Genomic DNA, 26,227 nt, shown 5'->3' with positions numbered 1-26,227 from the left:
TTCCAAATTGGGCACCTTTCTAATTTTGTGCTTCCATCCTTCATTTTGGGAGTACATTAAGAGGAAGCCGTATCTTCACATCCCTGCTGTTAGAATTTCCTTAGCACACTGAGAGATGTGTCCATCAACCAGCTACAAACAGTAATTTAAACCATTACTTAATTAGTTGCAATTGCAATGAATAGAGGTGTGCACTCCTTCATAGGTCTCATTGCAATTGTAGTGAAATAAATCACCATGACTCCTCTGCTGGAAAGTAGGTACCTTGAGAACAGGAACACCGGAGACTTATTCATGGCAGGAACTCCAGTGCCCACCCTGTGCCCTGTGCATAGCAGGTTTTCCAGAAATGTTGGTATTATGAATGAAGGAAGGAGGGCAGCAAGTAGTTCTCCCATTCCAGCAGTTTGGAGTGTTACCATTCAGGCTATGGAGAAGGAATTCAGAAGGTGGAAGGGCAGAATGGAGATGAGGGAATGGAGAGAAGAAGGTAGGCTGTGCTTTTGGGTTGCTTGCCTGTGAAGGGAAGTGTGGGGCCACTCTCAGGGCTTTGGGAAGTTGGAAGTGAAGATTCTACTAGGGCAACAGACCGTCAACTTTGTTTTCTCCCCCTGGATAAGGACATGGCCCTCCTGGGGATTAGGGTAGGAGACAAGGGGCCAGGGAAAGCCCTTCCAGACACCTGCATCAGGTCCCTGCCTGTTAGTTAGGAACCTGGAATGCTGCAGATAGGAAAACAAGAGTAGAGGGGGATGAAGGATGAAGTATTTTCTATAATATGGGATAAAATGACCTATTTATAGGTCCCAGGGAAGGAACTATTAGGGAGAGAGAGACCAGTGGTTCAGTAATGAGAATCGTAACTGACAGATTGGGAACCCGGAGAAGGCAGAAGGAGTTGAGATAAATTCCAAGGTTGGAAGCTACTTTTTTGTTTACCAGCATATAATGAACACTCTATCTCCAGAGGGCCATTCCGAGAAGGCAGAATCCTTTGTAGAAGGCAGTCACAGTGTTGGGGTGCCTATGGACTGGGTGCTTTGTGTCAAATGTTCACTCCTGGTACAAACAACCCAGGTGTGGAGAGGAGAGTGATGGTCACATTGTAGGTACTATTGCCCCTTCTGAAAGCCAAGTGATGGGAACAGGTTTATGATGCATGTGGACACCAAAGTGCAAATGCTAATGGCAGTCCTATGCCCTGAGCACTCTAAGAGTGACCTAAACAGATGCCAGTGCTCAGTGTTTGACTCACGTTATTGGAGTCAGTATTCTCAACAACCTTAAAGGCAGATGCTGTTACCATCCCCATTTTACCAATGAGGAAAATGAGGCTTAGAGAGGTGAAGTAATTTGCCCCAGGTCACACAGCTAACAAGTGGTGGAACTGGGATTTGAACCAATGCCATCTGATTCCAAAACCCTTGCTCTTCTCTTCTGAACTGACTTGTTTCAGAAGGAGGAGGCACCTCCTACACTGAGACAGGAGTGAAGGGGGTGAGGGTGGTAGCAGGTATGTGTATATACACGTGTTGTTTCTTTGTTATGAAGTTGAAGGCATTCGTAGCCGATGGTCACAGTTGGCTCAGCAAAGAATGCCAAGAAGGCAGGCTTGGAATGGCATTCATGGGAATCAGCAGGGAGCTGACCCTGATGGAAGCACAGAGGGCCCAGCAGAGGCTGGAGACCATGGGCTTATAAAGGCATCAAACTGTAATTGTACTCACATGAGAAGAAGTGAGAGAACTGGGTTCAAATCCCACCCTCACCATGTATGATGGACAAATAATTCCATCTCTCGAAACTCAGTTTGTTTATCTGTAATGTGTCTGCTTTGGGATTTGTTAGAAGGATCAACGAGATAATTTATGTAAAGCCCTCAGTAGAAGGCTTAGCACATATTGGGTACTTAATACATGGCTGATGCTGTTGTGTTAAGTAAAGACTTGTGATGATGCAGTAATGTTGCATATTTGCCATTTGAAAGTAATCTAATATTTTTAGCGACTTCAGAATTGATAAAGATTCAGAAAGCGAAAGGCTGCTGTATCCTGGCATCTTTTTTTTCCTCTCTAATTTATAACTTTCTCTGTAATGAAGGAATCACAAAGGAAACAGGATATCAGTACACACACCATACATTGGGGTTCTTTGGAATTGATCCCCTGTACCATAAAATATCCCTTGTCTCCGTTTACTCTCAAAACATAGGACAAGAAAAACAAATTTAAAAACCCAAAAAATTAAATTGAAAAAAGAAAGAAAAACAGAAAACACAGGTATTGATTGTAGTCACAGAAATTAACCATTTGTGTAGAATTTTGTGCATACCTGTGACATTAGTTGCTTAGAGGACCTGCAACTTTGTTCAAGGTTTCCTAATAGTCAAGCAATGGACCTGGGACCCATCCACTACAGCAGTTCTAAACACTGGCTCTTAGGGGAGAATTTAGAGTAGACAGTGTCTTGGTATATCGCCTTGGGGTGAATGCCATGTTGTGGATGATCTGGAGATCCACAGCTAGTTAACCTGCACCATCTCATTTTCCACGACCGTATGTCACAGAGTCCACGGAAGTGCAGAGCTGTTTAGGTGACTCCCCAGGGTTCCACAGCCGGCCCGTGGGTGGGCAAAGATGTTAATGGAAATATGTATACTTCAGTCTCTGTGTTGCTTTGCTTGGTTCTTCTCCTTCCAGTCATAATGAGGAACAGATATTAGGAATTTGGCTTCTCCAGGACTGGGAGACAGTGCATGTCTTCATTTTTGAGTTCTTTGAATGTTTTAGAAAAACACCAGGTCAAATAGTGCCTGAGTATATTCAACTGTTCACACATTTATAAAGGATCTAAAGACAGCAGGGATGCACCATGTTCCCTCTTTGTATGGTTTGTGTGGGCTTCTCCTCTGTGGTTGTGGTAGTTCTGAGCCATCTGTAGCTTTGACTCGGGGTTGAAATGCCTGCTGAGGGTAATGCGAGATACAGAAAGATGCTGCTTGACCCAGGCTATCACCACAGCTGTGGCCCTGCTCTTGTGAGAGTGTGTTGTAAATGACCAACCCAGAACGAGGGATCTGGTGCTCTGAAGACTTCGTGGGAAGTGATTCCTGGTCCTGTCATTTTACAGAGATGAGAACTATGACCCAAACATAAGTTCAAGGGCACACAGCCTGTTGACACTTATGGTTAGATTATTACTTCATCTCTAGAAACCCAGACCAGAGCTGGGCTTTGCGTGGGCCCTAAGGCACATCAGACCCCAATGTGCAACTCAGCTCTGCGCCCCTGGACATTGCCCTCAGCCTCTTTAAGCGTTGGTTTCCTCAACTGCAAAGTCATAGGTAGTGTAGATAATGGGTGAAAACGTTTGGCTTACTACTAAAAATTGTCTGCTTCATTACTATGTGCAGGTTTGTTCCCCGCCCTCTTTCCCCTTCCCCCGGCCCCAGCCCCTGTCCCTATAGCACATCACACAATATTGTAACGGCCTGTTTACCTGTCTGCATCTCCCACCGGACAGTGAAGGCTGGGATTCACTCTTCTCTATGAAATTTCCTACTATGAAAATAGGTCCTCAGTAGACACTTAGTGAATGAAGGAGTGGTGAATGCCAAGATGCCCCTACAGTCAGAGTCAACAGCCCATCAACCACCAGTTGGTAAAGTTCGATTTGTTTTACAAAGTAAATGTGCTTCCACATTTGGTCCTGGTGCCTGATCCCATTGAGTTTTTGCAAAGGGCCTTGGTGCCTTTGTGTTTAGTCTAACTCAGTTCAATTGAATTTAGTGACTGTCTGCTCTGCAGGTTGCTCAGGATCTCTGTCCTCAAGGAGTTCCCAGACTGTGGGGAGAGGGCAGATATGAAGGACTCACTGTAATGTGCAGTGAACGTTTCAGCTAGTAGAGAGTTACAGGAGTTGGGAACATTGATAGGGAGGCAGGGAAATCTACCAGGGAAGGTCAGAGAAAGCTGCAGGGTGGAGGCACCTGGTATACCAGGAGGCAAGGGCATCCCAGGACGAAGGCATAGCCTGGGGAAGAACCTGGCGTGGAAAGTGTGTGGTGTGTTAGGGCCAAGCAAGTATACTGCTGTGTTCAAAACGGATGTTTTATATATACATATCTATAAGTGTATTTAGATATGGATATATATATTCCTTCAGATTCACACATATGCATAAACGTATGTAAATATATAGAGATATATACATTTTTCCCTTGGCAGGTGTGAAGCCCTTCAAGTGTTCTTTGTGTGAGTATGCAACTCGTAGCAAGAGTAACCTCAAGGCTCATATGAATCGTCACAGCACTGAGAAAACCCACCTATGTGACATGTGTGGCAAGAAATTCAAATCAAAAGGGACACTGAAAAGTCACAAACTCCTTCACACTGCAGATGGTGAGTAAATGGCCCAAGGTGAACTTTCCCCTCTAAATGTGTGGTTTGAAGCTGATGTTCCAGTTTGTCAGAAACTTGCTGTACCAGAGGCAGGAAAGAGCACTTGCCCGTTAGAAGGAGCTTCTGGAAGAGCGGTGAAGACCAGGCCTGACTTCCTCCCATTCCTGTGCTCAGTGCCTCACTTCCAGCAGGTGCAGGATAAACACTTACTGGGTGTGTCGGTGCCAGTGGTGGAGGTATGCAGGGAGGGAAGCTGCTTCAGGAAAGGAGGTGTCTTCAGAAAGCCTTGATCCATGGTTCCGAAGTTTCCATCCTTTTTAGCCCTCCATCACCACCTGGAGCTCAAGGATCTTGAGGGGCAACCTTGATCACACCTGGCCTGATTTTTCAAGTGAGTCTCTTATCATCCAAGCTACCTCAGTGGTGGAACCAAGTCTAAAGTAAAACCAACATTTGGGCAGATTTGACCTAGATAAAGTATACTTAAGTGGATTTCTAATTTCATTCATTCATTAAGAACCATTGATTGAGTTCTTATATGTGCTAGACAGGGAGGTAGGTTCTAGGGATACCAGGTCAAGTAGAGACAAGTTCCTGCGTTCAAGGAGTTCGTAATCTAGAAGGCAGGGCAGAAGAGCAGGCAGGCCACGGTAAAGGTAAGTGCAGTGATGGAGGGGAGCTCGGGAGCCCTGGGAGCAGGGCATGGGTCGAGGTGGGTGGTGAGCTCGGTGGGCAGTGGGCACAGTCTCCCTGGCACAGGCTGGATAGAGGGAAAGAAGATTTGTTCTAGGAAGACAGGCAGCTAAACTGTAAGAGACTTTTAACATTTTTGATTTTACTTAGACAGGTTGTGTGAGGGACTTGTAAATACTTCATGTAACAAGATTAATAAACTTTATAAATGTATTGTTATTTACCAAAATTATATATAAAAATTGGAGTTTACTATAGAAATCAAAATTATTTCAACAGTGATTTTTAATTTCAAAATTTAGTGGATGATATAGCTCTTAAGTTCTATCTTTATTTTAAGATTGTTCTGAAAATCAATCCTGTTGTGTGTGTGGGGGTTGGGCCCTTGGCAAGTATTCAGGTGAGCTCGAGGGACTCAGTGCAAAGGCTGAATACTTGGCTGGGATTCATCAGAATTAAAGATCAAGGGCTTGCCTAAGGCTGAAAAAGAGCCAGAGCCATAAGTATTAAAACTTAAGCAGTACTCTCTCTAAAAAAAATCCATAATCAAAATTAAAAATACAATGACAGTAAAGCAGTCATACTTGAATAATGAAAGCATTAAAGTCATGTAGTTTTTTATGATTCTACGCCTCCACAAACAATAAGCCTTACTGACCGCTCAGCTGCCTGAACGTTTAGGCAAGAATTACATTTCTTAAGATGATGATAGCACATAACTACTGCAGTCCTTCAGTAATGAAGAGCAGCTGTCCCCAGAGGCAGGGAAGCCTGGAGTATCCAGTAGGCCACGGTGACAGGGTCAAGAAGGCATTCACAGGCACTGAACAGGGTTCTGTCGTCTCATGCCTGGTTCTGCAGTCTGGGCTTAGCCTTTGAGCAGATAGAAGCCATTTAATTTGTCAGGCCCTGGACCAACTGATATAGAGGGATGGGGTCGGTGTGAGTAGTTGGTGGTATCACGGGTCCACAGCAGCACACTCTGCCTATCCTCTCTGTCATGATTCTCTGAGTTCTTCGGCAGGAAAGGGAGTTCAGATGGACAAAGATGTCTTGTTGTCAAAGCAGGAATGCAACTCCTGAAAAGGAATGGTATTCAAACATTATGAAGTATTTTCTAACAAAACATTGGGAATTTGTATTGTTTCTCTTTCTTTCTTTCTGCTGACATTTTTGGGAGGGTGAGGTATTTGTAAAGTCATGTCTTTGTTTTCAGCACTTTTCAGTTCTCTGGTAAGAAGGGCATCCAGGTCGGGCACAGTGGCTCATGCCTATAATCCCAGCACTTTGGGAGGCCAAGGGAGGTGAGTGGGTTGCCTGAGCGAAGGAGTTTGAGACCAGCCTGGGAAACATGGTGAAACCCTGCCTCTACCAAAAATACAAAAAATTAACGGGGCATGGTGGCTCACACCTGTGGTCCCAGCTACTTGGTAGGCTGAGGTGGGAGGATTGCTTGAGACTGGAGGCGGAAGTTGCAGTGAGCCAAGATCGCACCACTGCACTCCAGGCAGGGTGACAGAGTGAGACCCATTCCCTACACCCCCCCTGCCAAAAAAAAGAAAGGCATCAGTCATCAGGTGCAATGAGAGGACCACTGGAACAGGTAGCTTGCCTCAGTGCCAACTTTTTCCACTACTTGGGTCTCAGTTTTGTCACGTCGCAAAATAAAGAAATGATACCTTCACGTTTCTTGGGTTTCTTTCAGCCTCAATTCTCTGATTCTAGGAAGAAAGGGGTAAAGTAGAGCAAAAGGGATGGAAATAGGAGGGGCCGGTACAGCTTTATTTCTAAATTCCAGATGATTGCTTTCCCACAGGGCTGCTGTACTTCATTATTTGTGTTTCTCTTTTGACGCTTACCAGTCTCATGTTTTGCCTGGGACTGGCTTGGTAAACAGGGTGCTGAGTCATAGACCCCTTGTTCTAGCTCCATTGCTGATCTAGGATGTAGCTTTAATTAAGCTATAGGTGAGTCATTTCCTTTTTAATTTTCTCCCATAACATGTCTATTATAGAAACTTTGAAAAAAGTTTATTTACATCTCTTGCTTATTTCTGTAGTGCTCATATTTTATCTTGTTGATGTCTTACAGCTCTTTGTATCTTAATACTTTGTCATCATTTGCCTCTATGTTTTGTTTATGGTATCTTTTTATATACAAAGTTAAATAACTTTGTTCATTTATTTTCCTTTATGTTTTCATCTTCCATGATTCTTTCTGTCAAAAGAAACCTTCCTCAGTTTGGGGCAAAATTCTTTTACTTTTTCTTTGAGTTTTATTTTATGATTACATAACATTTATGAAATTTAATATTCTTGCAATTTATTTTAGCGTATGGTATGTGGTTGGAATCTTTGTTTCCAAACAGTTATCATTGACTCAGTATATTTATAGAGAAATCAGTCCTTTCAATTTTATTTTGCAGTGCCAGAATTTCCCAAGATATTGGGTCTAATTCTGAGATTTTGGTCTGTGTCAGTGATTTTTGTACTAGTACCTTATTTTTCAAGCTGTTCTAGTAATTAACTTTATTTTTATCCAATAAAGTTAATTTTTTTATGAAGCTTACATAGTTTTTCTCATTTAGTTATTATTCCTTTGGATAAACTTCAGAATTGTTCATCAAGTTAGGACTATCCCTGGGGATGACCTTGTGAGCTCTTTGAGGATGTCTGTAACATGCTTTGAATCCATTGGTCACCTGTGCTTGTGCAGGTGCCTTGGTTGTCTTGATGAGGCTCTCAGCCTTTAACCATAGAATTAGCTTTTTACTTAGAAGCCAAGATTGCCTTACAGCCTGCCTGGAATTATTTGGTTTTAGTTGTATTTGTGGTATGAGTAATAACTGAATAGGTTGCTCTGTAGAGAAGCTGTGTAGAGTAGGTAGAGCTAGAGAGGCTTGGGTGTGGATCTGTTTGCCCCTTCCTAGTAGGGTGATTTTGGTCAGATTACTTCTCTGAACCTCACTTTCCTCATCAGTAAACTGGGATAGGTATACCCTCTTGTTGAGTGGGTCTGAGGATCAAAAGACAGGAAGTGCACCCCATGTTTGCCTGGCGGCCTCCTGCTCTCCTGGCTGCCCTGCCTCGGCATCCTGTCCTGGTTCTGCCTTAGCTTTCTGATTACCTCTCGGAGGCCACAGGGTTCAGCCTGTGGGCATTGTTCTTTTTTTTTTTTTTTTTGTTCCCTGTGTCAGAGTCTCACTTTGTCAGCTAGGCTGGAGTGCAGTGGTGCAATCCCAGCTCACTGAACCCCACCTCCTGGGTTCAAGTGATTCTTGTGCCTCAGCCTCCCACCATAGCTGGGATTACAGGCATGTGCCACCATACCCAGCTAATTTTTGTGTTTTTGGTAGAGATGGGGTTTCGCCATGTTGGCCAGGCTGGTCTTGAACTCCTGACCTCAAGCGATCTGTCTGCCGTGGCCTCCCAAAGTGCTGGGGTTACAGGCATGAGCCACCATGTGTTCTTTTTTTCTTGACACCTTAGGTGATCCCCGCAGTCTTATGGCTTTAAACACCATTTAGATAGAAGATGTATGGTTTGGCTGTGTCTCCGCCCAAATCTCATCTTGAATTGTAGCTCCCATAATTCTCATGTGATGTGGGAGGGACCCAGTGGGAGATAATTGAATCATGGGGGCAGTTTCCCCCATACTGTTCTCGTGCTAGGGGTAAGTCTCACGAGATCTGATGGTTTTATAAGGGGTTTCCCCTTTCTCTTGGCTCTCCATTTTCTCTTGCCTGCCACCATATAAGATGTGCCTTTCACCACGATTGTGAGGCCTCCCCAGCTACATGGAACTGTGAATCGTTAAACTTCTTTTTCTTTATAAATTACCTAGACTCAGGTATGTCTTTATCAGCAGTTTGAAAACGGACTAATACAGAAGGCTTCCAAACTTGTATTTCCAGCCCTCTTGTTCCTCCCAGCCTTGGCACTGCCATGTCTGAAACTGCCCACTCAACATCTGCATTTGGATGCCCACCTGGCCCCCCAAGCTTAGCGTGCTCAACATTAAGCTCCCAATCTTCGTCCCTAGACCCGGTCTCTTATGGCCCAGGGGTTGCCAAAGTTTGTAAAGAGATTGTAAGTATTTTTGGCTTTGAGTGCCACATCCAGTTTTCTCTTTTTTGTAGTTTTTATTTTTACGAACTTTGAAAAGTGTAAAAGCCAGACTTCGGTACAAAAGCAGGAAGTAGGCTAAATTTGGTGCTTGGGCATAGGCTGCCAACCCCTGCTGTACCCCATCTTGGGAAATGGCTACTCCTTTTCCTTTGCTCAAGTCAAAAGCATTGGGTCAGTCTTGACTGTCTCATTCATACCCCACACATGATCCATTAGCAAATCCTGTGCGTTCTGTCTTTAACATGATCTGGAGTTCTCCCGCTTCTCAACACCCTCATGCCATCCTTTTTGTACTGGCCACTGTCATCTCCTGCCTCCATTCTTGCAGTAGCCTCCTAACTGCTTTCCCTAGAACCTCTCCTGGTCCCCACAAGTCCATTCTCAACAGAACAGCCAGTGATCCTGTGGAAACAAAGGCCAGGTCGTGCCATTCCTCTGTTCAGAACCCTCCTGTCTATCTGCTGTCACTCTGAGTGGAAGCCCAATTCCTCACCATGACCTGCTTGATCCCCCCATCTCTCTGATGTCTTCTCCTACTCTCCCCCAGCTAGCATCTCTCCACACATATTGTATTCATTCCTTTTTTTTTTTTTTTTTTTTGAGACAGAGTTTCGCTCTTGTCGCCCAGGCTGGAGTGCAGTGGTGCCATCTCGGCTCACTGCAACCTCTGCCTCCCAGGTTCAAGCGATTCTCCTGCCTCAGCCTCCCGAGTAGCTGGGATTACAGGCACCCACCACCACACCCAACTAATTTGTATCTTTAGTAGAGATGGGGTTTCACCATGCTGGGCAGTCTGGTCTCGAACTGCTGACCTCAGGTGATCTGCCCGCCTCAGCCTCCCAGAGTGCTGTGATTACATGTGAGCCGCCATGCCCAGCCTATCTTCATTCTTGTTCCTCACACCTGCCAGGTATGTGCTCATCTCAAGGGTTTTGCTTTGGCCCTTCCCTCCTCCTGGAGTGTTCTTTCCCCCTGTCTGAATGGATACCTCCTTCATGTCCTGGAGGTCTTTATTGACGAGTCACTCTGAATGAGTCTTCCCTAGGTGCTCACGTATGGAAGGTCTCCATACCCCACCAAGTAATCCAGACGCCCGTGGCTTCCTGTGCTGCTCTCCTTGGCTTATCTTTCTCTAGTGCATTATATAGTTTCCTTATTTACTACTTTTTTGTCTCTGTTACTGGAACTGTCCCACTAATTACTTCATACTCTCTTTCATGTTTTTTACTTTCTCTTTAAACCAACCCTTCTCCAGTGTACTGTATAATTTCCTTATTTATGATGTTTTGTGTCTTCCACTAGATTGTAAGCTTCACAAGCAGAGATTTTCGACTTACTACATTTATTTTGTATCCTCAGCACTTAGAACAGGGCTTGGCTTATCATAGGCACTCAATAAATTTGTGTTTATTGAATGAGTGGAAAATGTAAAGTGCCTTGCATGAAGTGGTTGCGATATAGTAGTACTCACAAAGTGTCAGTGATTTTCTCCATTTCATCTTAGATCATTCTGTTAAATCAAATGCTTGTGAATTAGGTATTTTAAAATATGGTCAAGGAACTCACCATTAAATGAATCTTCTTGGGCATTTTTTAATGAAGTAAAAAGGAATTGAATAATTACAATTACCCTTTCTTCTAACTACTTGTGAATCCAATTTTTCACATTTGCTGGCTTAAAGTGATAGATCCCTATCTGTGGCATTCCTGTTTCCCAAAGGAACTCATTACTGTACCTTAGAAAAGATAGCTCATTCTGGGTGAAGGTTTCAGTTAAAAAAGTTTGCCAGTCAATATGTACAAAGAGAGAAATTGATCTATAAAGGGCTCGATTAAACCCTTTGTGTGTATGCCAACAGGATGTAAGAATTTAATGCAAAGATCATGCTGTAATGTAGTTTCCCACTTTTGACTTTAAAAAGCCCTAGACATGATGTGCTGTCTGGAGGTTTATACACGATTCTGCCCACCCATAGCAGATGGGGAAGGTTAAGCTGTACAGTGCCTTTATGTTATGTAATCAAACAGGAATCCTTAAATCATGAAATAATAAAAGTCTTTGGAGTTTATTTCTAATTCCTTTGGGTCTCTCCCCTCCCCCTGATCCAAACTGCCCCTGTACATTTTAATTAAGAAGTTTTTGGGTAAAATTTGAAAAGAATTATCCAGGCTTCAAGCACTCTTGTAATAGACAAGTGGAGAGTTGAGTATGGAAATTAGGTTTGAGTGGAGTAAGTACCCTTTTTTTCTGTCCCTTCTTCAATTTATGATAAGAGATCTCATGGCTGCAAATTAAAATATTCTAGGAGATCTAAGTATGGAGTTTTGTTTTGTTTTCCTCCACTGTCCTCTAAAAAGCAAAGCCACTCTAGGATAAAGTAGCTCCATGGCCTTTTGCTTCTAAAAACAGAACCAGGAAGTAAATAGAAAATGGTCCCTGAGCACCTAGCTGGATTGATCTTACAAGGTTAACTTGCGAGACTTCAGTGAGACTGGTCTTTCCACTGCATCCTTTTCCCTTTTGTTCCTCCTCCTACTTGCCCTTGGAGAAAAGGTGAAGAGGCAGGTGTGGAAGTGTGGCTACTGGATGAACATGGTAGATTTCTGTTGCTTATCACTGGGCTGGAGTCTGGGTGGTGGGCAGGAGAAGGCAGGGCTAATTTCAGGGCCCACAAATACTGTTTAATAGGTTCACCCTGTTGGTGTTCATATGTAGCTCTTTTTCTCAGGTTTTTATAAACCACAAGATCCACTGGGAATAAGTGGGCCCATACTATAAAATGAACTACGCAGCTTACTGAGCAATTAGCTTAGATTGATATACAGATTTAACTTTTTAATGAGGCTTGGCCACCTAAAACCTCACCAGGTAGAGGGTCTCAGCTGCAAATGTCTGGCACAGTGTCTGTAACTTTCATCTAGCCCTGGTGCTGTGCTCTGTCCTTTATGTGGCTTTGTGCTGCCTTCGGTTTCTTTCCACCTCTGTCTTATGCTGATCCATCCCTCCTTATATCAAAACTGATGTACTAATTACAGAGAATCATCAGGCCCTAAGTCTGCAGTTGCTTGAAGTTCAGCCTTTAAAGTACAGAGACTTCTTTAACTGTATTTTTATTGCTGTAGCTATTTCTGTTCGATTTGCCACTGCATAAATCACCACAGATGCTAGAACTGTGAAGATGTGTGCTTTGCAAAACACTTGCTGCAAAATGCCTGTTATGCTTCCTGCAGGACGCTTTTCTTACATGAAGCAGCAAACCTCTGTGTGCTGGGCTACATGGAGAAGCGAGGAGGTAGAGTAGGGAAAACCTTGTGCTCCAGAGGCAGGCCCAGGCTGGAATCACTTCTTGCCTGAACAGTCTTGAACAGTGATCCCCATTTGTAACATGGAAGTTACATGTTTCCCCGTGACTCCTGTAACAAATTACCACAAAGTTAGCGACCTAGATCAACACAGATGTATTATGTTGCAGCTCTGGAGGTCAGCGATCTAAAATCAAGGTGTCAGCCTGGCTGCATTCCTTCTGGGAACTCTGGAGGGGAACCTGTCTCTGCATCCTGTGGCTTATGGACCTTTTCCTTCACATTCAAAGCCAGCAGTCCAGCATCTTCCCATCTCTTCTGTCCCTGCTTCCATCACCACACTCCTTCTCTGACTTTAAGCCTCCTGCCTTCCTTTTATAAGGACCCTTGTGATTTCACTAGGACTACCTGGATAGGCCAGGCTAGTCCCCAGCTCAAGATCTTTAGCTTAATCACATCTGCAAACTCCTTTTTATTTTTTTTCCATATATGATAGCATGTATAGGTTCTGGGGATTAGAACCTGGATATCTTTGGGAGGGCCATTATCAACCCACAGCATGGGGTTGCAGGAAGATTAATTGGGTTCATACTATGGATGTCAGCTCATGTACCCATTCCTCTGGTGCATGAACCAGTAGCTCTTAATGACACAGTATAAGAATGGATATCTGTAGCAGTTAATTTACATCATTAGGAAAGATTAAGTCACTTTTTTTTTTCAAATATTCTCCTATTAGGAAGGCACAGTGCAATAGTTAATATTTAAAGAGTATCACTGTTGGAAAGGGTAAAAGTCAGTTTTCTGAAAAAAAGGTAAAGTCAATTTTCTAAAAACTCTTGAAAATTTACTTATGTAAAATACCACCTTTTTCAGTAAGACTGGATAAACAGTCATAAGGAGGCATTTTTACTTTTATGCCTCTAGAATAGTATTACTAATAACAGTTGAGATTTATAGAAATTCTTTCCTCTAAGTACTTTAGAGCTCTTTCAGGTTTGAGGTGCACATAAAATTTGATTTGGCAAGGATGATTTAATTTAGCAGATACTTCAAACAAGTTGCCTTAAATCCCAAGGAATTTTTCATTGCCGTCTCTCTCTGTGTTCTGATGGAATCCAAATGCCAAAAGCTGAAGGTGACGTTTTAAGTTTTTTTCTTTCCTACCATTCCATTCCTTCTTAGTTTTACATAGAACTCTATCTAAAGTAAGCAAGCAGCTGGAGTCATCCTCAGGGAAAGTCACCAAGCAGATGAGGCTGTAGTAAGAAACAAAGGGAACAACAGGTGCCGCACATACTGTTAGTGCCAAGTCGCCAGGCTGGGGCTTCATAGATCCCACGGTGGCCTGCCCACAGCTGCCGGGAGGCCAGGAGCGATTGCCTTTCTTTTCAGGAGCAGAGAATGGGAGCTCAGAGTGTGGCTCCCTTGCAGCTGAGCTTCAGAGGTCTAGGGCGACATGGGTGCCTTTGTGCTTCCATATCCAGCTGGGAATAACTTCCTGCTTGAGCCCAGGGGCTTCAGCAAGGCAGGTACCCTGCTGGCTCCCCCACCTACCACATTGACATCCCCCTCTCCTTCCTTCAACGTGGAGAGTCAACGGGAAGCGAAGTTCGAACTCTCGTAGGTTTGGTCGGTCACATCTCTCTAACCTGAGCTAGGATAACAAGTATTCCTGTTTCTTCTTTCCTTCTCCTATTTTCAAGTCCCCTCTTCCCTTTCTAACAGGACAACGTGGGTAATGTTTTACCTGGGTAAGGCTGGAGTAAAGAGCAGAGCTCAGATTCTCTGACTCCAGACCCTGTGCTGGTTTTCACTGTCTGGTGATCTTTGAATTCAGCCAGCATCCAGTTGCCAGGCCCAGGCAGCGCTGCAAAGGACAGAGGTCAGCTTTGCTTCATCAGTCATGGACATGCAGTCCCAGCACTCATGCTTAGGCAAAGAAAGAGGCTCCTTCCAAAAGAACACTTGAAAGTGGAGAGAGATTTTGCAAAGATATGCCTCACCTTTGGAGAGATGAACAGAAACAATGGAAATGACATTTTCGTGCCTGCATCCCCATCTTTGAAGGAGAGTTCAACCAGATCACACATTTTTTAAGGGAAATGGAGCTGCTAGTGAAACACTGTATTTCCAGAAAGAGCTGCGGTGTCTGCAGTGGAAACCTCCAGCAAGCCTGGCACTCAGAAAGATGTCTAACTGAAAACTACAGGGCCAGGAACACTGATGGGATCCCTTTCCCTCCACCAGCAACATCAGCCTGCATAAGTCTACAAACTGCCATACAGTCTTCAAAGTTTATCTTTGAACTACACGACACATCTTTCCTTTCTTAAACGAATTTGTTGCCGATTCTCAAGAACCTTCCAAGGAAGGTTCTTGTTTTGTTGTGTTATTTTTATTTTTACGTTTTTTAAATTAAAGTAACACGTACACACACACACGGCACACACACACATGCACACATACACGCACACATGCACAGTTCAGGAGTGTACAGCTCAATGGATTGTTACAAAGGAGGCACACCTGTGTAACTGCAGCTTAGGAGAAGAAACAGCACACTGCCAGCCTCTTGGCAATTTCTTCCTCCTGCAACATTATTGCCTGTCTCTCCTCCCCAGAGGTAACTACTTACTGCCCTGACTTCTAGCAGCATAACTTGCTTTTCTCTGTCTTTGAACTTCATAGAGTTGATTCATACAATATGTGTTCTTTTATGTCTGGCTTCTTCCTTTTCACATTGTGCTTGTGAGATTCATCTAGGTTGTTATGATTTTGAGTTTTACCATTTTACCATCTGGGCCTGTGGGTCAAATAAAGAATTTCATAAGGAAATGAGATTCTAAATTCTGCAATTTCTGACCAGGAAGTCTTTGTTCCCACAGTCAGCTTTTTTTTTTTTCCCCACCGTGGCAATATTCTTGCAGTCAGCTTGGAGCATGTGTTCTGCAAGAGTGTTTCTCCAAAAAGTGGTATGACTCAGCTTTGCTTTGTCCTTATTTACAAGGTGTGGCTCAGAATGACATTTGACTGCTTACAGAAATTAAATCCTGCCCAAGAGGAAAAGAAGCGACTACTCCTGAGATTATTCGCACAATTAGGCCACTGGCTCTTTTTTGTGAAGAAGAGGGAGAAAGATGCTTGGTCAGAAAGAGCACCCGTAAGTCAGTGCGTAGCCAGTCAAGGCTGGGGGGCTGTTTTTTAAAAGACAGTGAACTTTCAGGTTCAGAAGCCATTGGTATCATTTTATGGCTCTGCGTTGAAAGATCTGTCTTCTGGTTTGTGTGCAGTAGCGGATGAAACATCTCAGCCTTTCAGAGATGGGTGCTAATTATCTGAAATGCTTTTCTGTTAGAGCACAGACAGCACGAAAACAATGTTCATAAAAATCCAACTGCTTCCTACAAGTATGCCCACAATTCTATCACCTAACAAATAAATGATTCTTTAAAAATCTTTATTCATGCTCATATGGAATGGCTGTATAGTTGTAATGAAAGGATATCATTCTTACAGCCTTGAAATTAATATTATAATAATTCTTCGTTGCTGTACAGTTCATTAATAACAAGTTTAAGAGTTGTATGATGCACTAAGGTGATCCATGAGTTGTGTAACCATTCCCTTATTTTCGGACAATGTGTTATTTTCATTTTTCCTCCCATTATTTTAACTTATGTGGCAGGGGCTTCTTTCTTGCATGTAAACTTTGTCTTCTTTTGAATTAACTCCTTAGGACACATTTCCAGGAGCGGGATGGCTATTTTGTTTTGGTGGTTTTAATTGTGCATTGCACTGCCAACTTCCTTTCCAAAAAATTGTACCAGAAATAAGAAAGTGTCCCAGCTTAACTCTTCCATTTTTAACACTGTGTTACTAAAAATGTCTAGTTTCTTAGTTTAATGGGTATCAAATCTTACCATGTTATACTTTTTATTTATATGATAGCTCATAAAGTCAAACAGGTATTGTGACAGTTAAATGAGTTAATGGTCATAAAGCATTTGTAGCTTTGGTTCATAGTGCTGTGTAGGAGAGTGTGCTGTAATTGGACTTTTTTCAGTTAATTAAGTCTCATTCTGTCCTCTCTAGAGAACGCTGTTTGGTCAAGACCTATTTTTGCCTGGTTTCTGGGGTCTTGGTGTTTCATAGTCATACATTCACTGGTTCATTCAACAGCTATACTTCTTGGACTCTTGGTTGCAGCTGACAGAAACTCATATTGGTTGCAGTTGACAGAAACTCATTTGAGGTCACAGAAGTCGCCACGGGGCATTTATGGTAAAGTTACCTGGGATCTTACAGAGACTCAGAGCCTTTGTGTTTGAGTTCCTTCTTCCCAGTGCTGTGTTCACCTCTTCCTCATGCGGCTGGTCCTCCTCATCCTTCCATCTTAGTATAACGTCACTTCCTCACAGAGGCCTTCCCTGACAGCCTGGCCACATGGCCACACCTCTTCCACACTCCCTCATGCTCCACCATGGCTCCTTGCCTTTGTCCTTCGTGGCGTGTTGCAGTTGGTAATTATTTGTTGGACTACTTGCTGGTTGTCCATTTAGGTGATGAGTGCCAGAGGCAGGGCCTTTGCTGTCTTGTCCACTCTCATCTCCTGGGATCAGGCATGGTCCTGGCACCCAGCAGCCCCTCCGTGAATGCTCGCTGAGTGAATGGACACAGCCAGCCAGGAGATTGTCTTCATCCTCCACCTTTGGTCCTCTCTGCTTCCTTACTTCATTCTGATGTCCTGTCTCTGTCTGTCTTCGCTGTGCTCTCCTCTCACCCCCAGCAGATTGGCTTGCTTACTTGTTTCACCCACAGAGTGAAAACACAACTCCCATCCACTGCTGAGTTGCAAGCTTCATATCTGGACAGTTCTGATTCCTGGCTCAGCTAGAGTCTCTTGTCCACTGTAGTCCAATCTCCTATGACTTTGGGTGGGGAGATGGTGGGTATGACGACATATCACTGGCCCTTGTGATGCCCTGTGTGACCATGTTGATTATGAGGAGGGGAGAAAGGGTGGCTGAACAGACTTCTGAATGGGGTGCTCCTGTAAATTAACTGCTAGCCTTACCTCCAGGATGCTCTCACCTCCAAGCACTGAGGACATGGCATGAAAATTGCAGTCTTGTCTCAAAGTACCCACAACCTGCAAGGGTGCCAGATGGACCAACCAAAGGTGAATCAGTGCACTGCTTCGGTGATTGCAACCAAAGCCCAAACCCAAAATCTCCACTGTCATGAGGCGAAAATTCTCGTGAGTGAGATGGATAACAAACACTATAAATCAGCAAAGTGTGTGGTATATTACAATGGAAATATGAGTACATCTAAAATATTAAGAAAATTGAGAGATGAAAATAAAAATACAAATATGAAATGATTCCATTTCAGTATGAAAATATAGGCTGAGAAATGCTAAAAATGAATCAGTAAAGGGGCACAGGGACTGATTTTAAACAGAATGGTCTGAAAGGACTCAGTGTGAAGGTGACATTTGAACAGAGACTTGAGGGAGATGAGGCAGCAGAGCACAGCATATCTGGGATGGACACCCCGGGCTCTGGGAACAGCAGGTGCAGAGGCCCGGAGGTAGGTGCGTGGACTGTGTCTATGGAGTGGAGAGAGGTGAAGGCAGTACATGAGCTCTGAGAGGTGACAGGGAGTCATACACCCCTGTGCCCTGCAGCCACTGTGAAGCTCTTGGCTTTTGCTCTGGGTGGAGGTGAGGCCAGATAGGGTGCTGGGAAGAGGAGCAGGAGGTTTTCTGTAAACTCTGCTGTTATAACTGCTTACTTACACTTTGATATAGTTGTACAAACCTTTTCCTTTGCTCTGCTTTTATGCTTTTTGTTTTAGGTATACTGATTTAGGCTGGCTTAATTAGAACTGAATATTTGGATTGTCTCAGGGAGTGTCAGGGAGGTACAGGTCTGGAGGGCACTGCACTCAGCTGAAAGGTCCACTGTGGGGTCACCTGTATGCACCCGCAGCCTCATCCTTCAGGGGGCTGCTTTTCAGATGCTTGCAGGCCCAGTCCCTGAGCCCATCCTCACAGCAGATGGGGATTACCTCCCCATTTTTCTAATGGGGCCTCTGAGTAGCATAGAAGAAAGAACCCAGGGTCACTCAGGGTGAGCAGGACAGGGCCAGAAAGAGAACATAGTTCCCCTGCAACTGGCTCTTCTTGGGCAGTCTTTTCTGATGGGTAGTCACCTTCTGATGGGCAGTCACCTTATGTGTTAGTGGCACAGATATGCCATTGCTGGTATAAATTCCTCCTTCCATTTCGGAAATTGTATCACACCCTTATTAGCTGAAAAGATTCTTATGTGGCTGTGAATGGGGGTGTTGGGGTCAACAGACTGAGGGCCAAATCTGGGCTCTGCCACTTATTTGAAAATATAAGCTGTATTTTCAAATAAGCTTATATTTGAAGCTTATTTGAAGCTTCGTGATCTGGCAAGTACTCAGAGTCTTGATACCAGGTCCTCATCCATGAAAGGGTGACACTGCCCACCTCCTGGGTTTTTGGTGCATGGTAAGATTTTACACGTCATGCCCCAGTGCAACTCATGATGCCTAGTAGTCCAGTGAGTAGACCTAGCCAGGTATATTTTAGGGAAAAGGCATTACTTTTTATCAGTCAACCTCTTTTCTTTGTAATCATTCTTTTCTTCCCCTGGGATTCTGGGAGATTCGCATCCACGTACAGCCATTCGATGTGCATCTCCCAGCACTCTGAGGTCAATCTCACCTCGAGTAAATACTAGGTTTTGCAGTTGACTCTGCTTGTAAGTCTCAGAAGTCTCTTGATAGAAAGCCATCTGATGGTCTCAAAGTATTGCTCTTTTATGATTAGTCATGAATCTGCATCCCATTATTTTAATTAGGCAGCAAATAATTATGTCAGATGCCCTCCCAGGCCTGTTTGATAGGTGCTGGCAGTGGTTGCTGAAAACATTAGTAATATTTATTGCCAGGGCTCTGATGCTTCAGTAAGGGATGGCTTTTAGCTTCTGCCTTCTTTTCTTGTCTCTTGCAGAGCCTTGGAAGTACATCCATAAAAGGCTGACTCTTGATTTCAAATGAGGCAGTTCCATTTATTCATTTTAGGACTCTTTTTTAGCTCTTAATCTGTTACTCTTTGACCCAAGTGTTTGACAATGAATGACAGAATATTTATCAACTTAGAGAATGGTTCCATCAGCTCTGCTTCCCCCACTCTAGTGGTGAAGAACACAGCACAGTTTTGCCCAGGCTGCCCAGAATAATGATGCTGTATGCACATGAGCCATGTGTCAGTGGAGAAGTGTGTTTAACTGAGATTCAACTGGAACTGTGTAGAAATGTGTGGCCCTGTGTTTGAAAGAAGATGTTACTGTATTTTTTTTAAGTTCTAATTGCTCTCTAATTGTAACTTGTGTGACTTACAAGTGAAAAAGTTTCCTTACACTTTGGGCTTGCAGAATTAATAAAATTTAGAATTTTGGGTTCATTCACCTGGAATAATAGATACAACTGTGGTATTAATATTTGTTTCCTTTTGCTGCTGTTATTGAGGCTGATGTTCATATAAGATGTACAAAATTTTCACTCAGTTCAGTTTAATGAAATGCATGGAATATATTCAGTCTGTGTGTGCACTCATGTGCTGGGGTACCAAGATGAGTAAGATGTAGTCCCTGCCCATGGGCAGCTGAAGGCAGCCCTGCCTTGTACAAGGCGGTAGAGGTGGGGCATAGACTGAAGCAAGTGGACAGTGTGTAGGGGGCCTATGGAGGGCTGCCTCTTGGCCCAATTACCAGAGTGTTCAATTTGAGTTCTGAATTAACAGGAAGAATGACCAGATGCTGCGAGACAGTGCATTCCAGGCATGGAAAATGTTAGCAAAGGCTCAGGGGTCTGAGATTGCAAAGGCAAAGCAGAAAGTTTGGAGAACTCAAGGAGTTCAGTGTTATGAGCCTAAATACAGAAGGGGCAGGCACAAGAGAAAGTCAGAGAGAGGGGTGGGGTGGGTTGGGGAGAGTTGGTTCTGATTCTGGAGGGCCTTCTCTGCTGTGCTCTGGAACGTCAACTTTGCTCTGAAGTTGGGGCCATTGGTTGGTTCTGATGGCTAGACTGTGGGATGGTTTATGCTGTACATCATCTGGATAGAAGATGAGGCATCAGGATGCATGTGTGGATAGATGGGTGGATTATGGTTGATGGATGGATGGATGGATGGATGGATGGATGGATGGATGGATGGATGGTTGGTAGGGTTTTATGAAGGCAAGGAAACCAGCTTAGGGGCTTTTGCTGTTGTCTAAGAAAGAAATGAGGAGGACCTAAACCAGTGTGGAGGTATTAGAAATAGAAATAGACAGACATGAGAAATATTTAGGAGATGAAATCAGGTGCTGAAAAAATGAGGTGAGTGTAAGTTAGGGCCATAAAGATTTTGAGGAAGGCTACTGGGTATCTGATGTAGGTGATCAGATGGATGATAAACTGGGAAGGCTGGAGGTGGAAGCCATTTGGTGAAGAAGATGTGTCCAGCTTAGGACATTTGGGACAGCTAAGTGGCTGGTCTAGCAGGCAGTTGGATACTCAAGTCTCAGATTCAGAGAAGAGATCAGAGTAGAAGATGCTGATTTTGGCATCAAAGGTTTACAAAAGTCTGAAGGGGTCAGTTAGGGTCAGTTATATGCAAGGATGCTTGTAGACTTAGAGTAGGAGTGTGGGCTGGAACACTGTGGAACATCAGGGCCTAATGATAGCTGCCCTGGTGAGAGGGAATGCCTCAGGGGTACTCAGAATGAATAGAGAGGCCCAGAGAGGTGGTATTGTTGCAGAGTCAAAGGAACAGAAGATTTCCAAAGTGTGGACTATTAATGGAGTCACATGCAGTACAGTCATCCAGTAACATACAGACCAAAATCTGCCATTGGCTTGGCATCATAGTGGGAACAGGTTTCCAGGTGAGCTGGCAGTGAATAGAGGGGAGGGGGAATATCTAAGAGGGAAAGGTGCAAGAGTGCTCTGGGAGGAGCCAGCACTTCTGGGAACTCAGCCACAGTGGCTGTGGGTGTAATGCCCTGAGGAGGTTTACACCATTAGAAGCTACTTGTTGAATTCTTTACTGCTATACGAAGTAGGCCACATTTACATTTGGTTACACATGTTTGTGTTATTGCTTGTTGAGGTTTTATTTATGCTAATCAGAGGCAAAATGTAGGGTACCTCATATATCTATTAATTTGTTTTAACATATCCCATTATTGAATGTTTAAATATTGCTAAAACCTTAATCTTTTTTTTTTTTTTTTTGAGTTGGAGTCTTGCTCTGTCGCCCAGGCTGGGGTGCAGTAGCGCTATCTCGGCTCACTGCAAGCTCCACCTCCCGGGTTCACGCCATTCTCCTGCCTCAGCCTCCCGAGTAGCTGGGACTACAGGCACCCGCGACTGCGCCTGGCTAATTTTTTGTGTTTTTAGTAGAGACAGGGTTTCACTGTGTTGGCCTGGATGGTCTCGATCTCCTGACCTCGTGATCTGCCCATCTCGGCCTCCCAAAGTGCTGGGATTACAGGCATGAGCCACCGCGCCCGGCCTAAAACCTTAATCTTTTTAAGACCAGTGGTTTACTTTTCCCTAGTTTTCTTTCTAGCATTCTCCCCAAAATGCCTTTGGCACTCCAAACAGAGTTAGGAGTTCTGCAACGCAGATCCTGCACTTTGCTGGCCATCATCCTGCAGACTCACCTGACTTTCAGGGTTATGTCTGAGGTCCTTGTGAGATGGTCCAGACCCTTGATATTCTGGGCCAGCAACCTCTCTGGCTCAGCTCTTGAATTTCTGCAGACCTCACACTCCAGGAAGGAAGATGCAGCTGCTCCTCTCCAGGAAGGAAGATGCAGCTGCTCCGCTTTCCTGAGCACCCTGTGGTCCATTCCCCTGCAGTCTCATCTGTGTGTGCCCCTCTCCCTTGATGCCCTTCTCTCTGGGCAGCTGGACACACCCTTACTCTTTCTTTAGGAGCCTGATCGAATGTCATTGCTCATGGGGCCTCCCCAGGTGGAGCTGGCTGTGCCTCTCCCTCCCTGGGGAGTGCCTCTCCACTCCCACCTGTTGAAGACTGAGCATGCTGCATTGTGCCTGTGCACCTCGTCGCTGTTCCCTTCTGAGATTCTGATCCTCACATGGCAAGGAACACCTTTGTGTACCTGGCTCCATGCCTGGCACTTCATTCACAGTGGGAGCTGTTGGCCTGGCGACGCTCATCTTGTCCTCCGCTTCTTTCCAGGGAAGCAGTTTAAGTGCACGGTGTGTGACTACACAGCGGCCCAGAAGCCACAGCTGCTGCGGCACATGGAACAGCATGTCTCCTTCAAGGTAAGAGGGCTCTGGAGAAGAAGGCAGATGTTCAGACAAAAAAGGCGTTGCTTTTCAAAGTGAAGATGGAGAGAGCATTCTTTCATTGTTTGTTGGTTTTACCTTCGCTTTGGGGCCCCCTTAGCTGGTACACGTGGAGTCTGAGGCATAGTGCAGCTTATTTGTGCTCTCTCGTTCCAGAAGCGTAGCATTGCTCTGTAATTTGGAAACCAAGTCAAAGATGTGTAAGAGGATGCAGACAGAAGAAAAGGCACGATCTTTGCATAAAAGCACTGGAGTGATTTAGAGGAAGGCTTGCAGGCTTTAGGGACACGTATTTTTGCTTTCAGATCCTGGATTGCTGCAGGTGAGTCACCCGATAAAGCAGGTGTGATGAAGCCCACCCGGCAAGCAGTTGTAAAAACTGGAGATTGTGTTCGGGAGTGTCCACCACAGTGCCCAGCATGTTGCAGGGGCTCAGGAGATGGTGGCATTTCATATTCTTTTAATGCCTCTAATTTGTGTTTCTTCAGTGTAGGTGGTAATGCTTGCTTAGCCACTGCTTATGATGCAATTATTGACAACAATCACTAGGGTCCAGTAATGTGTTCAGTAAAAAGTTCTGCTCAGCACTTGGGGAAACTTGACCCTGAGAATTACTGCTGTTGCTGGCACAGCAACATGGCACACATGGCACACATGGAAAGGAATCATCAAGATTTGTAAACTTGTTGCTCTAAAATGGTTTTTGAAATTATGTCTACCATTACATCCCAGAGAATCATAGAACATGGGAGGGACTGCAGGGCATCTGTTTTGTCCCTCTGGACTTGCAGCTGGTATCACCCCAAAAGTGGTGGCAGTGGAGTTCCTACCAGGCAGTGCCCCAAACTGTCCTGATATAGGGCCTGTTGGGATTCCAAAGAAAGAAGCACTAAACACTGGGGTGATTTGTTTAAAGCAATTACTAAGTCCTTGCCACAGACAGCAAGGGGACAGGGCGTGGGGTGTTCTACTGGGATATGTCCACAGCAAGGTGGTCAGGGTATGGAGTTGTATGAGCCTTAATGGAATTTGGCTTAGGCAGGGCCAAGGCTAGTTTCTTTCAGTGGTGTCTTGGGCAACAATCTAGATACTCTTTTTTTTTTTTTTTTTTTTTTTGAGAAGGAGTCTCACTCCTCTTTTTTTGAGAAGGAGTCTCACTCCTCTGCTCCTCTGTTGCCCAGGCAGGAGTGCAGTGGCACGATCTTGGCTCACTGCAACCTCTGTCTCCTGGTTTCAAGCGATTCCCCTGCTTCAGCCTCCCAAGTGGCTGGGACTACAGGGTGTCTCAGGTAGCCCGCTGCCACGCTCAGCTAATTTTTGTATTTTTAGTAGAGACGGGGTTTCACTATGAGCAACCTAAATATTTTTATTGGTGCCTGAGAATGTTCGAGGCTTCAGTTCTGGTTCAAGCCTGCTGGGAAATCCTGCAGCTGGCTGGCTCACAGAACAGTCAAGGCACCCTGATTTTTGGTCAGGACACAGAAAGAAAGCACTGGGGAGCTGGGCGACCCTACACCAGCACACTGCTAGCTTGTGTTTATTGAACATCCATTGCGTGCAGGCACTGTACCAGGAACTGCATGTTCATCATCTAGAATCTCCTTCATGGTACATATTATCTTCCGTCTTTGAAATACGAAGATTCTAAACCTCAGAGAAGCTAACTGATCACCTGTCAGTCTTTTCTGCCATGGCTATATCCACTGACTTCAGTCACCATGATGATATTGACTCACCTGCATTCAGCACTTCTGAGGTGACGAGGACCTTCCCCACTGGCAAGTTTATTTTATGCTCAGAACAGCCTTGTGGGAGGTGAATTTTCATGGTTCCCCCTCTTGTAGTTGAAGACATTGAGTGTCAGAGGGAGGCTCGGAGGGATCTGCTGGTACGCCTTCAATATCCAGGAAGTGAAGAAGCTAAAACATGGACTTCATCCTTTCACTCCTAGTCTTGTGCTTTTCTCACTACATGTTCTCAGTTACTTGTTGGGGGCAGAAAGGGAGAAATTGGAGAAACTAAGGATGTTGAAAGGTGTTGCTTGTATAGCTGCTTTTTAAAACCACCCGTACTGACTGTGAGTTTCTTAGGTAGGACTCATATGTCACCTAGTGGGATTGTGGCAGTGTCTGAATCAAGAAGCGTCTTTAGCGTTATGCATATTTGTGTACGTATTTAAAATTAAGAGCTTTATTTCACATTTCACAGCATATAGGTGTACTTCTTTGGGGGACTAGTGCAATTATTGTGCTAGAGAATAGAGAGCTAAGGCAAATTTCACTTTAGAGGTGAGAAAATTAGACCCAGTGAGGTTAATTATTTTCCTGGCTTTTGCAGCATTGCTACTAGACTTTTCAATCATTCCTTGGTTTACACTGTGAAGCATTTTCCTTCCCTAAACAGACCTAGCTGAAACAGCCTTTTTGCCCTGAAATCCTTACTGGTTTTTATTGTTGTTGTTTTGTTTTGTTTTTAAGATTGTGGACTATCTGGTTTATGTGCAGAAGAAATGGATTTGGGGGTGGTTTCAGTTAAGGAATCACTCACATATGTATTATTAACTTCTGCCATTACATAGTTGGTGTCCGGTGCTGGGCCTCAGGACCTGCTGCACTGAGCTGGACCTGGGGTCATGGCTGGTTTCCCTTGGACTCCCTGTGGATTTTAGCTTCCTCCCTATTGAGTGGTACTATAGATGGGAATGAGATTCAGACCTGAGTGAGAAACAGTAAATCCAGCCTTAGTTTCTCTCATCCCACAACTTAGGGTATTCATCAAATGCATATCAATTTAGGTAGTGTTTCTCAATTAATTGGGACTGACAAACAAAATGAAATTGCTTCATGCCAACCCCTCATCCAAATAGTGATAATCACTCTCTCCCTGTCGTCTTCCCTTCCCACTCTCTGTGTTAATTTCCTATTGCTCCTGTAACAGATTACCACCAATTTAGTGGCTTAAAATAGTTCAGATTGATTATCTTACATTTCTGTAGTTTGGAAGTCTATCACACATCTCACTAAGATAAAATCAAGGTGTTGGCAGGGCTGCATTTTTTCTAGAGGTTCTGGGAAAAAAAATTCACTTCCTTGCATTTCTGGCTTCTACACGCGACCTGTATTCCTTGGCTCATGGCCACTCCCTTCATCTTCATGGCCAGAAATATGGCATCTCTCACCATGTCTCCTTCTCTGACTCTCCTCTTCTGCCTCCTCTTCTACCTTTAAGGACCCTGGTGGTTATACTGAACCCACTGAGATAACCCACAACAATGAATGTCCTTATCTTAATCTCAGATGATTAG

General features: G+C 44.3%; 1 protein-coding gene across 13 annotated transcripts in view, besides 5 other annotated features; it reads left to right on the top strand.

Annotated features, from left to right (window-relative positions):
- The window catches only part of ZFAT (zinc finger and AT-hook domain containing), a 354,552-nt gene that overhangs the window by 244,108 nt on the left and 84,217 nt on the right, over positions 1 to 26,227 (top strand). For 11 of the 13 annotated variants that reach the window (XM_047422062.1, NM_001174157.2, NM_020863.4 and 8 more), the window contains 2 exons: positions 4,227 to 4,400; positions 22,811 to 22,899. In XM_047422062.1, the coding sequence (XP_047278018.1) occupies positions 4,227 to 4,400; positions 22,811 to 22,899 (263 nt within the window). Of the gene's footprint in view, positions 1 to 4,226; positions 4,401 to 22,810; positions 22,900 to 23,079; positions 23,246 to 26,227 lie in introns of all 13 variants that reach the window. The other 2 variants (NR_110323.2, XR_007060749.1) reach the window with 2 other exon arrangements.
- Positions 5,941 to 7,140: an enhancer, noted in NCBI's record as "CDK7 strongly-dependent group 2 enhancer chr8:135593335-135594534 (GRCh37/hg19 assembly coordinates)". NCBI's record gives its function as "activates an origin of replication core promoter dependent on BRD2, BRD4, P300/CBP, MED14 and CDK7 cofactors, with strong dependence on CDK7, by STARR-seq in HCT116 cells {active_cell/tissue: HCT116}" and the evidence as "EXISTENCE:reporter gene assay evidence [ECO:0000049][PMID:35650434]".
- Positions 16,730 to 16,809: an enhancer, noted in NCBI's record as "active region_28013". NCBI's record gives its function as "activates an Ori minimal core promoter by ATAC-STARR-seq in GM12878 lymphoblastoid cells {active_cell/tissue: GM12878}" and the evidence as "EXISTENCE:reporter gene assay evidence [ECO:0000049][PMID:35858748]".
- Positions 16,850 to 16,899: an enhancer, noted in NCBI's record as "active region_28012". NCBI's record gives its function as "activates an Ori minimal core promoter by ATAC-STARR-seq in GM12878 lymphoblastoid cells {active_cell/tissue: GM12878}" and the evidence as "EXISTENCE:reporter gene assay evidence [ECO:0000049][PMID:35858748]".
- Positions 22,788 to 22,847: an enhancer, noted in NCBI's record as "active region_28011". NCBI's record gives its function as "activates an Ori minimal core promoter by ATAC-STARR-seq in GM12878 lymphoblastoid cells {active_cell/tissue: GM12878}" and the evidence as "EXISTENCE:reporter gene assay evidence [ECO:0000049][PMID:35858748]".
- Positions 22,908 to 22,957: an enhancer, noted in NCBI's record as "active region_28010". NCBI's record gives its function as "activates an Ori minimal core promoter by ATAC-STARR-seq in GM12878 lymphoblastoid cells {active_cell/tissue: GM12878}" and the evidence as "EXISTENCE:reporter gene assay evidence [ECO:0000049][PMID:35858748]".

This window comes from Homo sapiens, chromosome 8, assembly GCF_000001405.40.
Source record: "Homo sapiens chromosome 8, GRCh38.p14 Primary Assembly".
NCBI lineage: Eukaryota > Metazoa > Chordata > Mammalia > Primates > Hominidae > Homo > Homo sapiens.
This window is presented reverse-complemented; position numbering and strand designations above follow the sequence as displayed.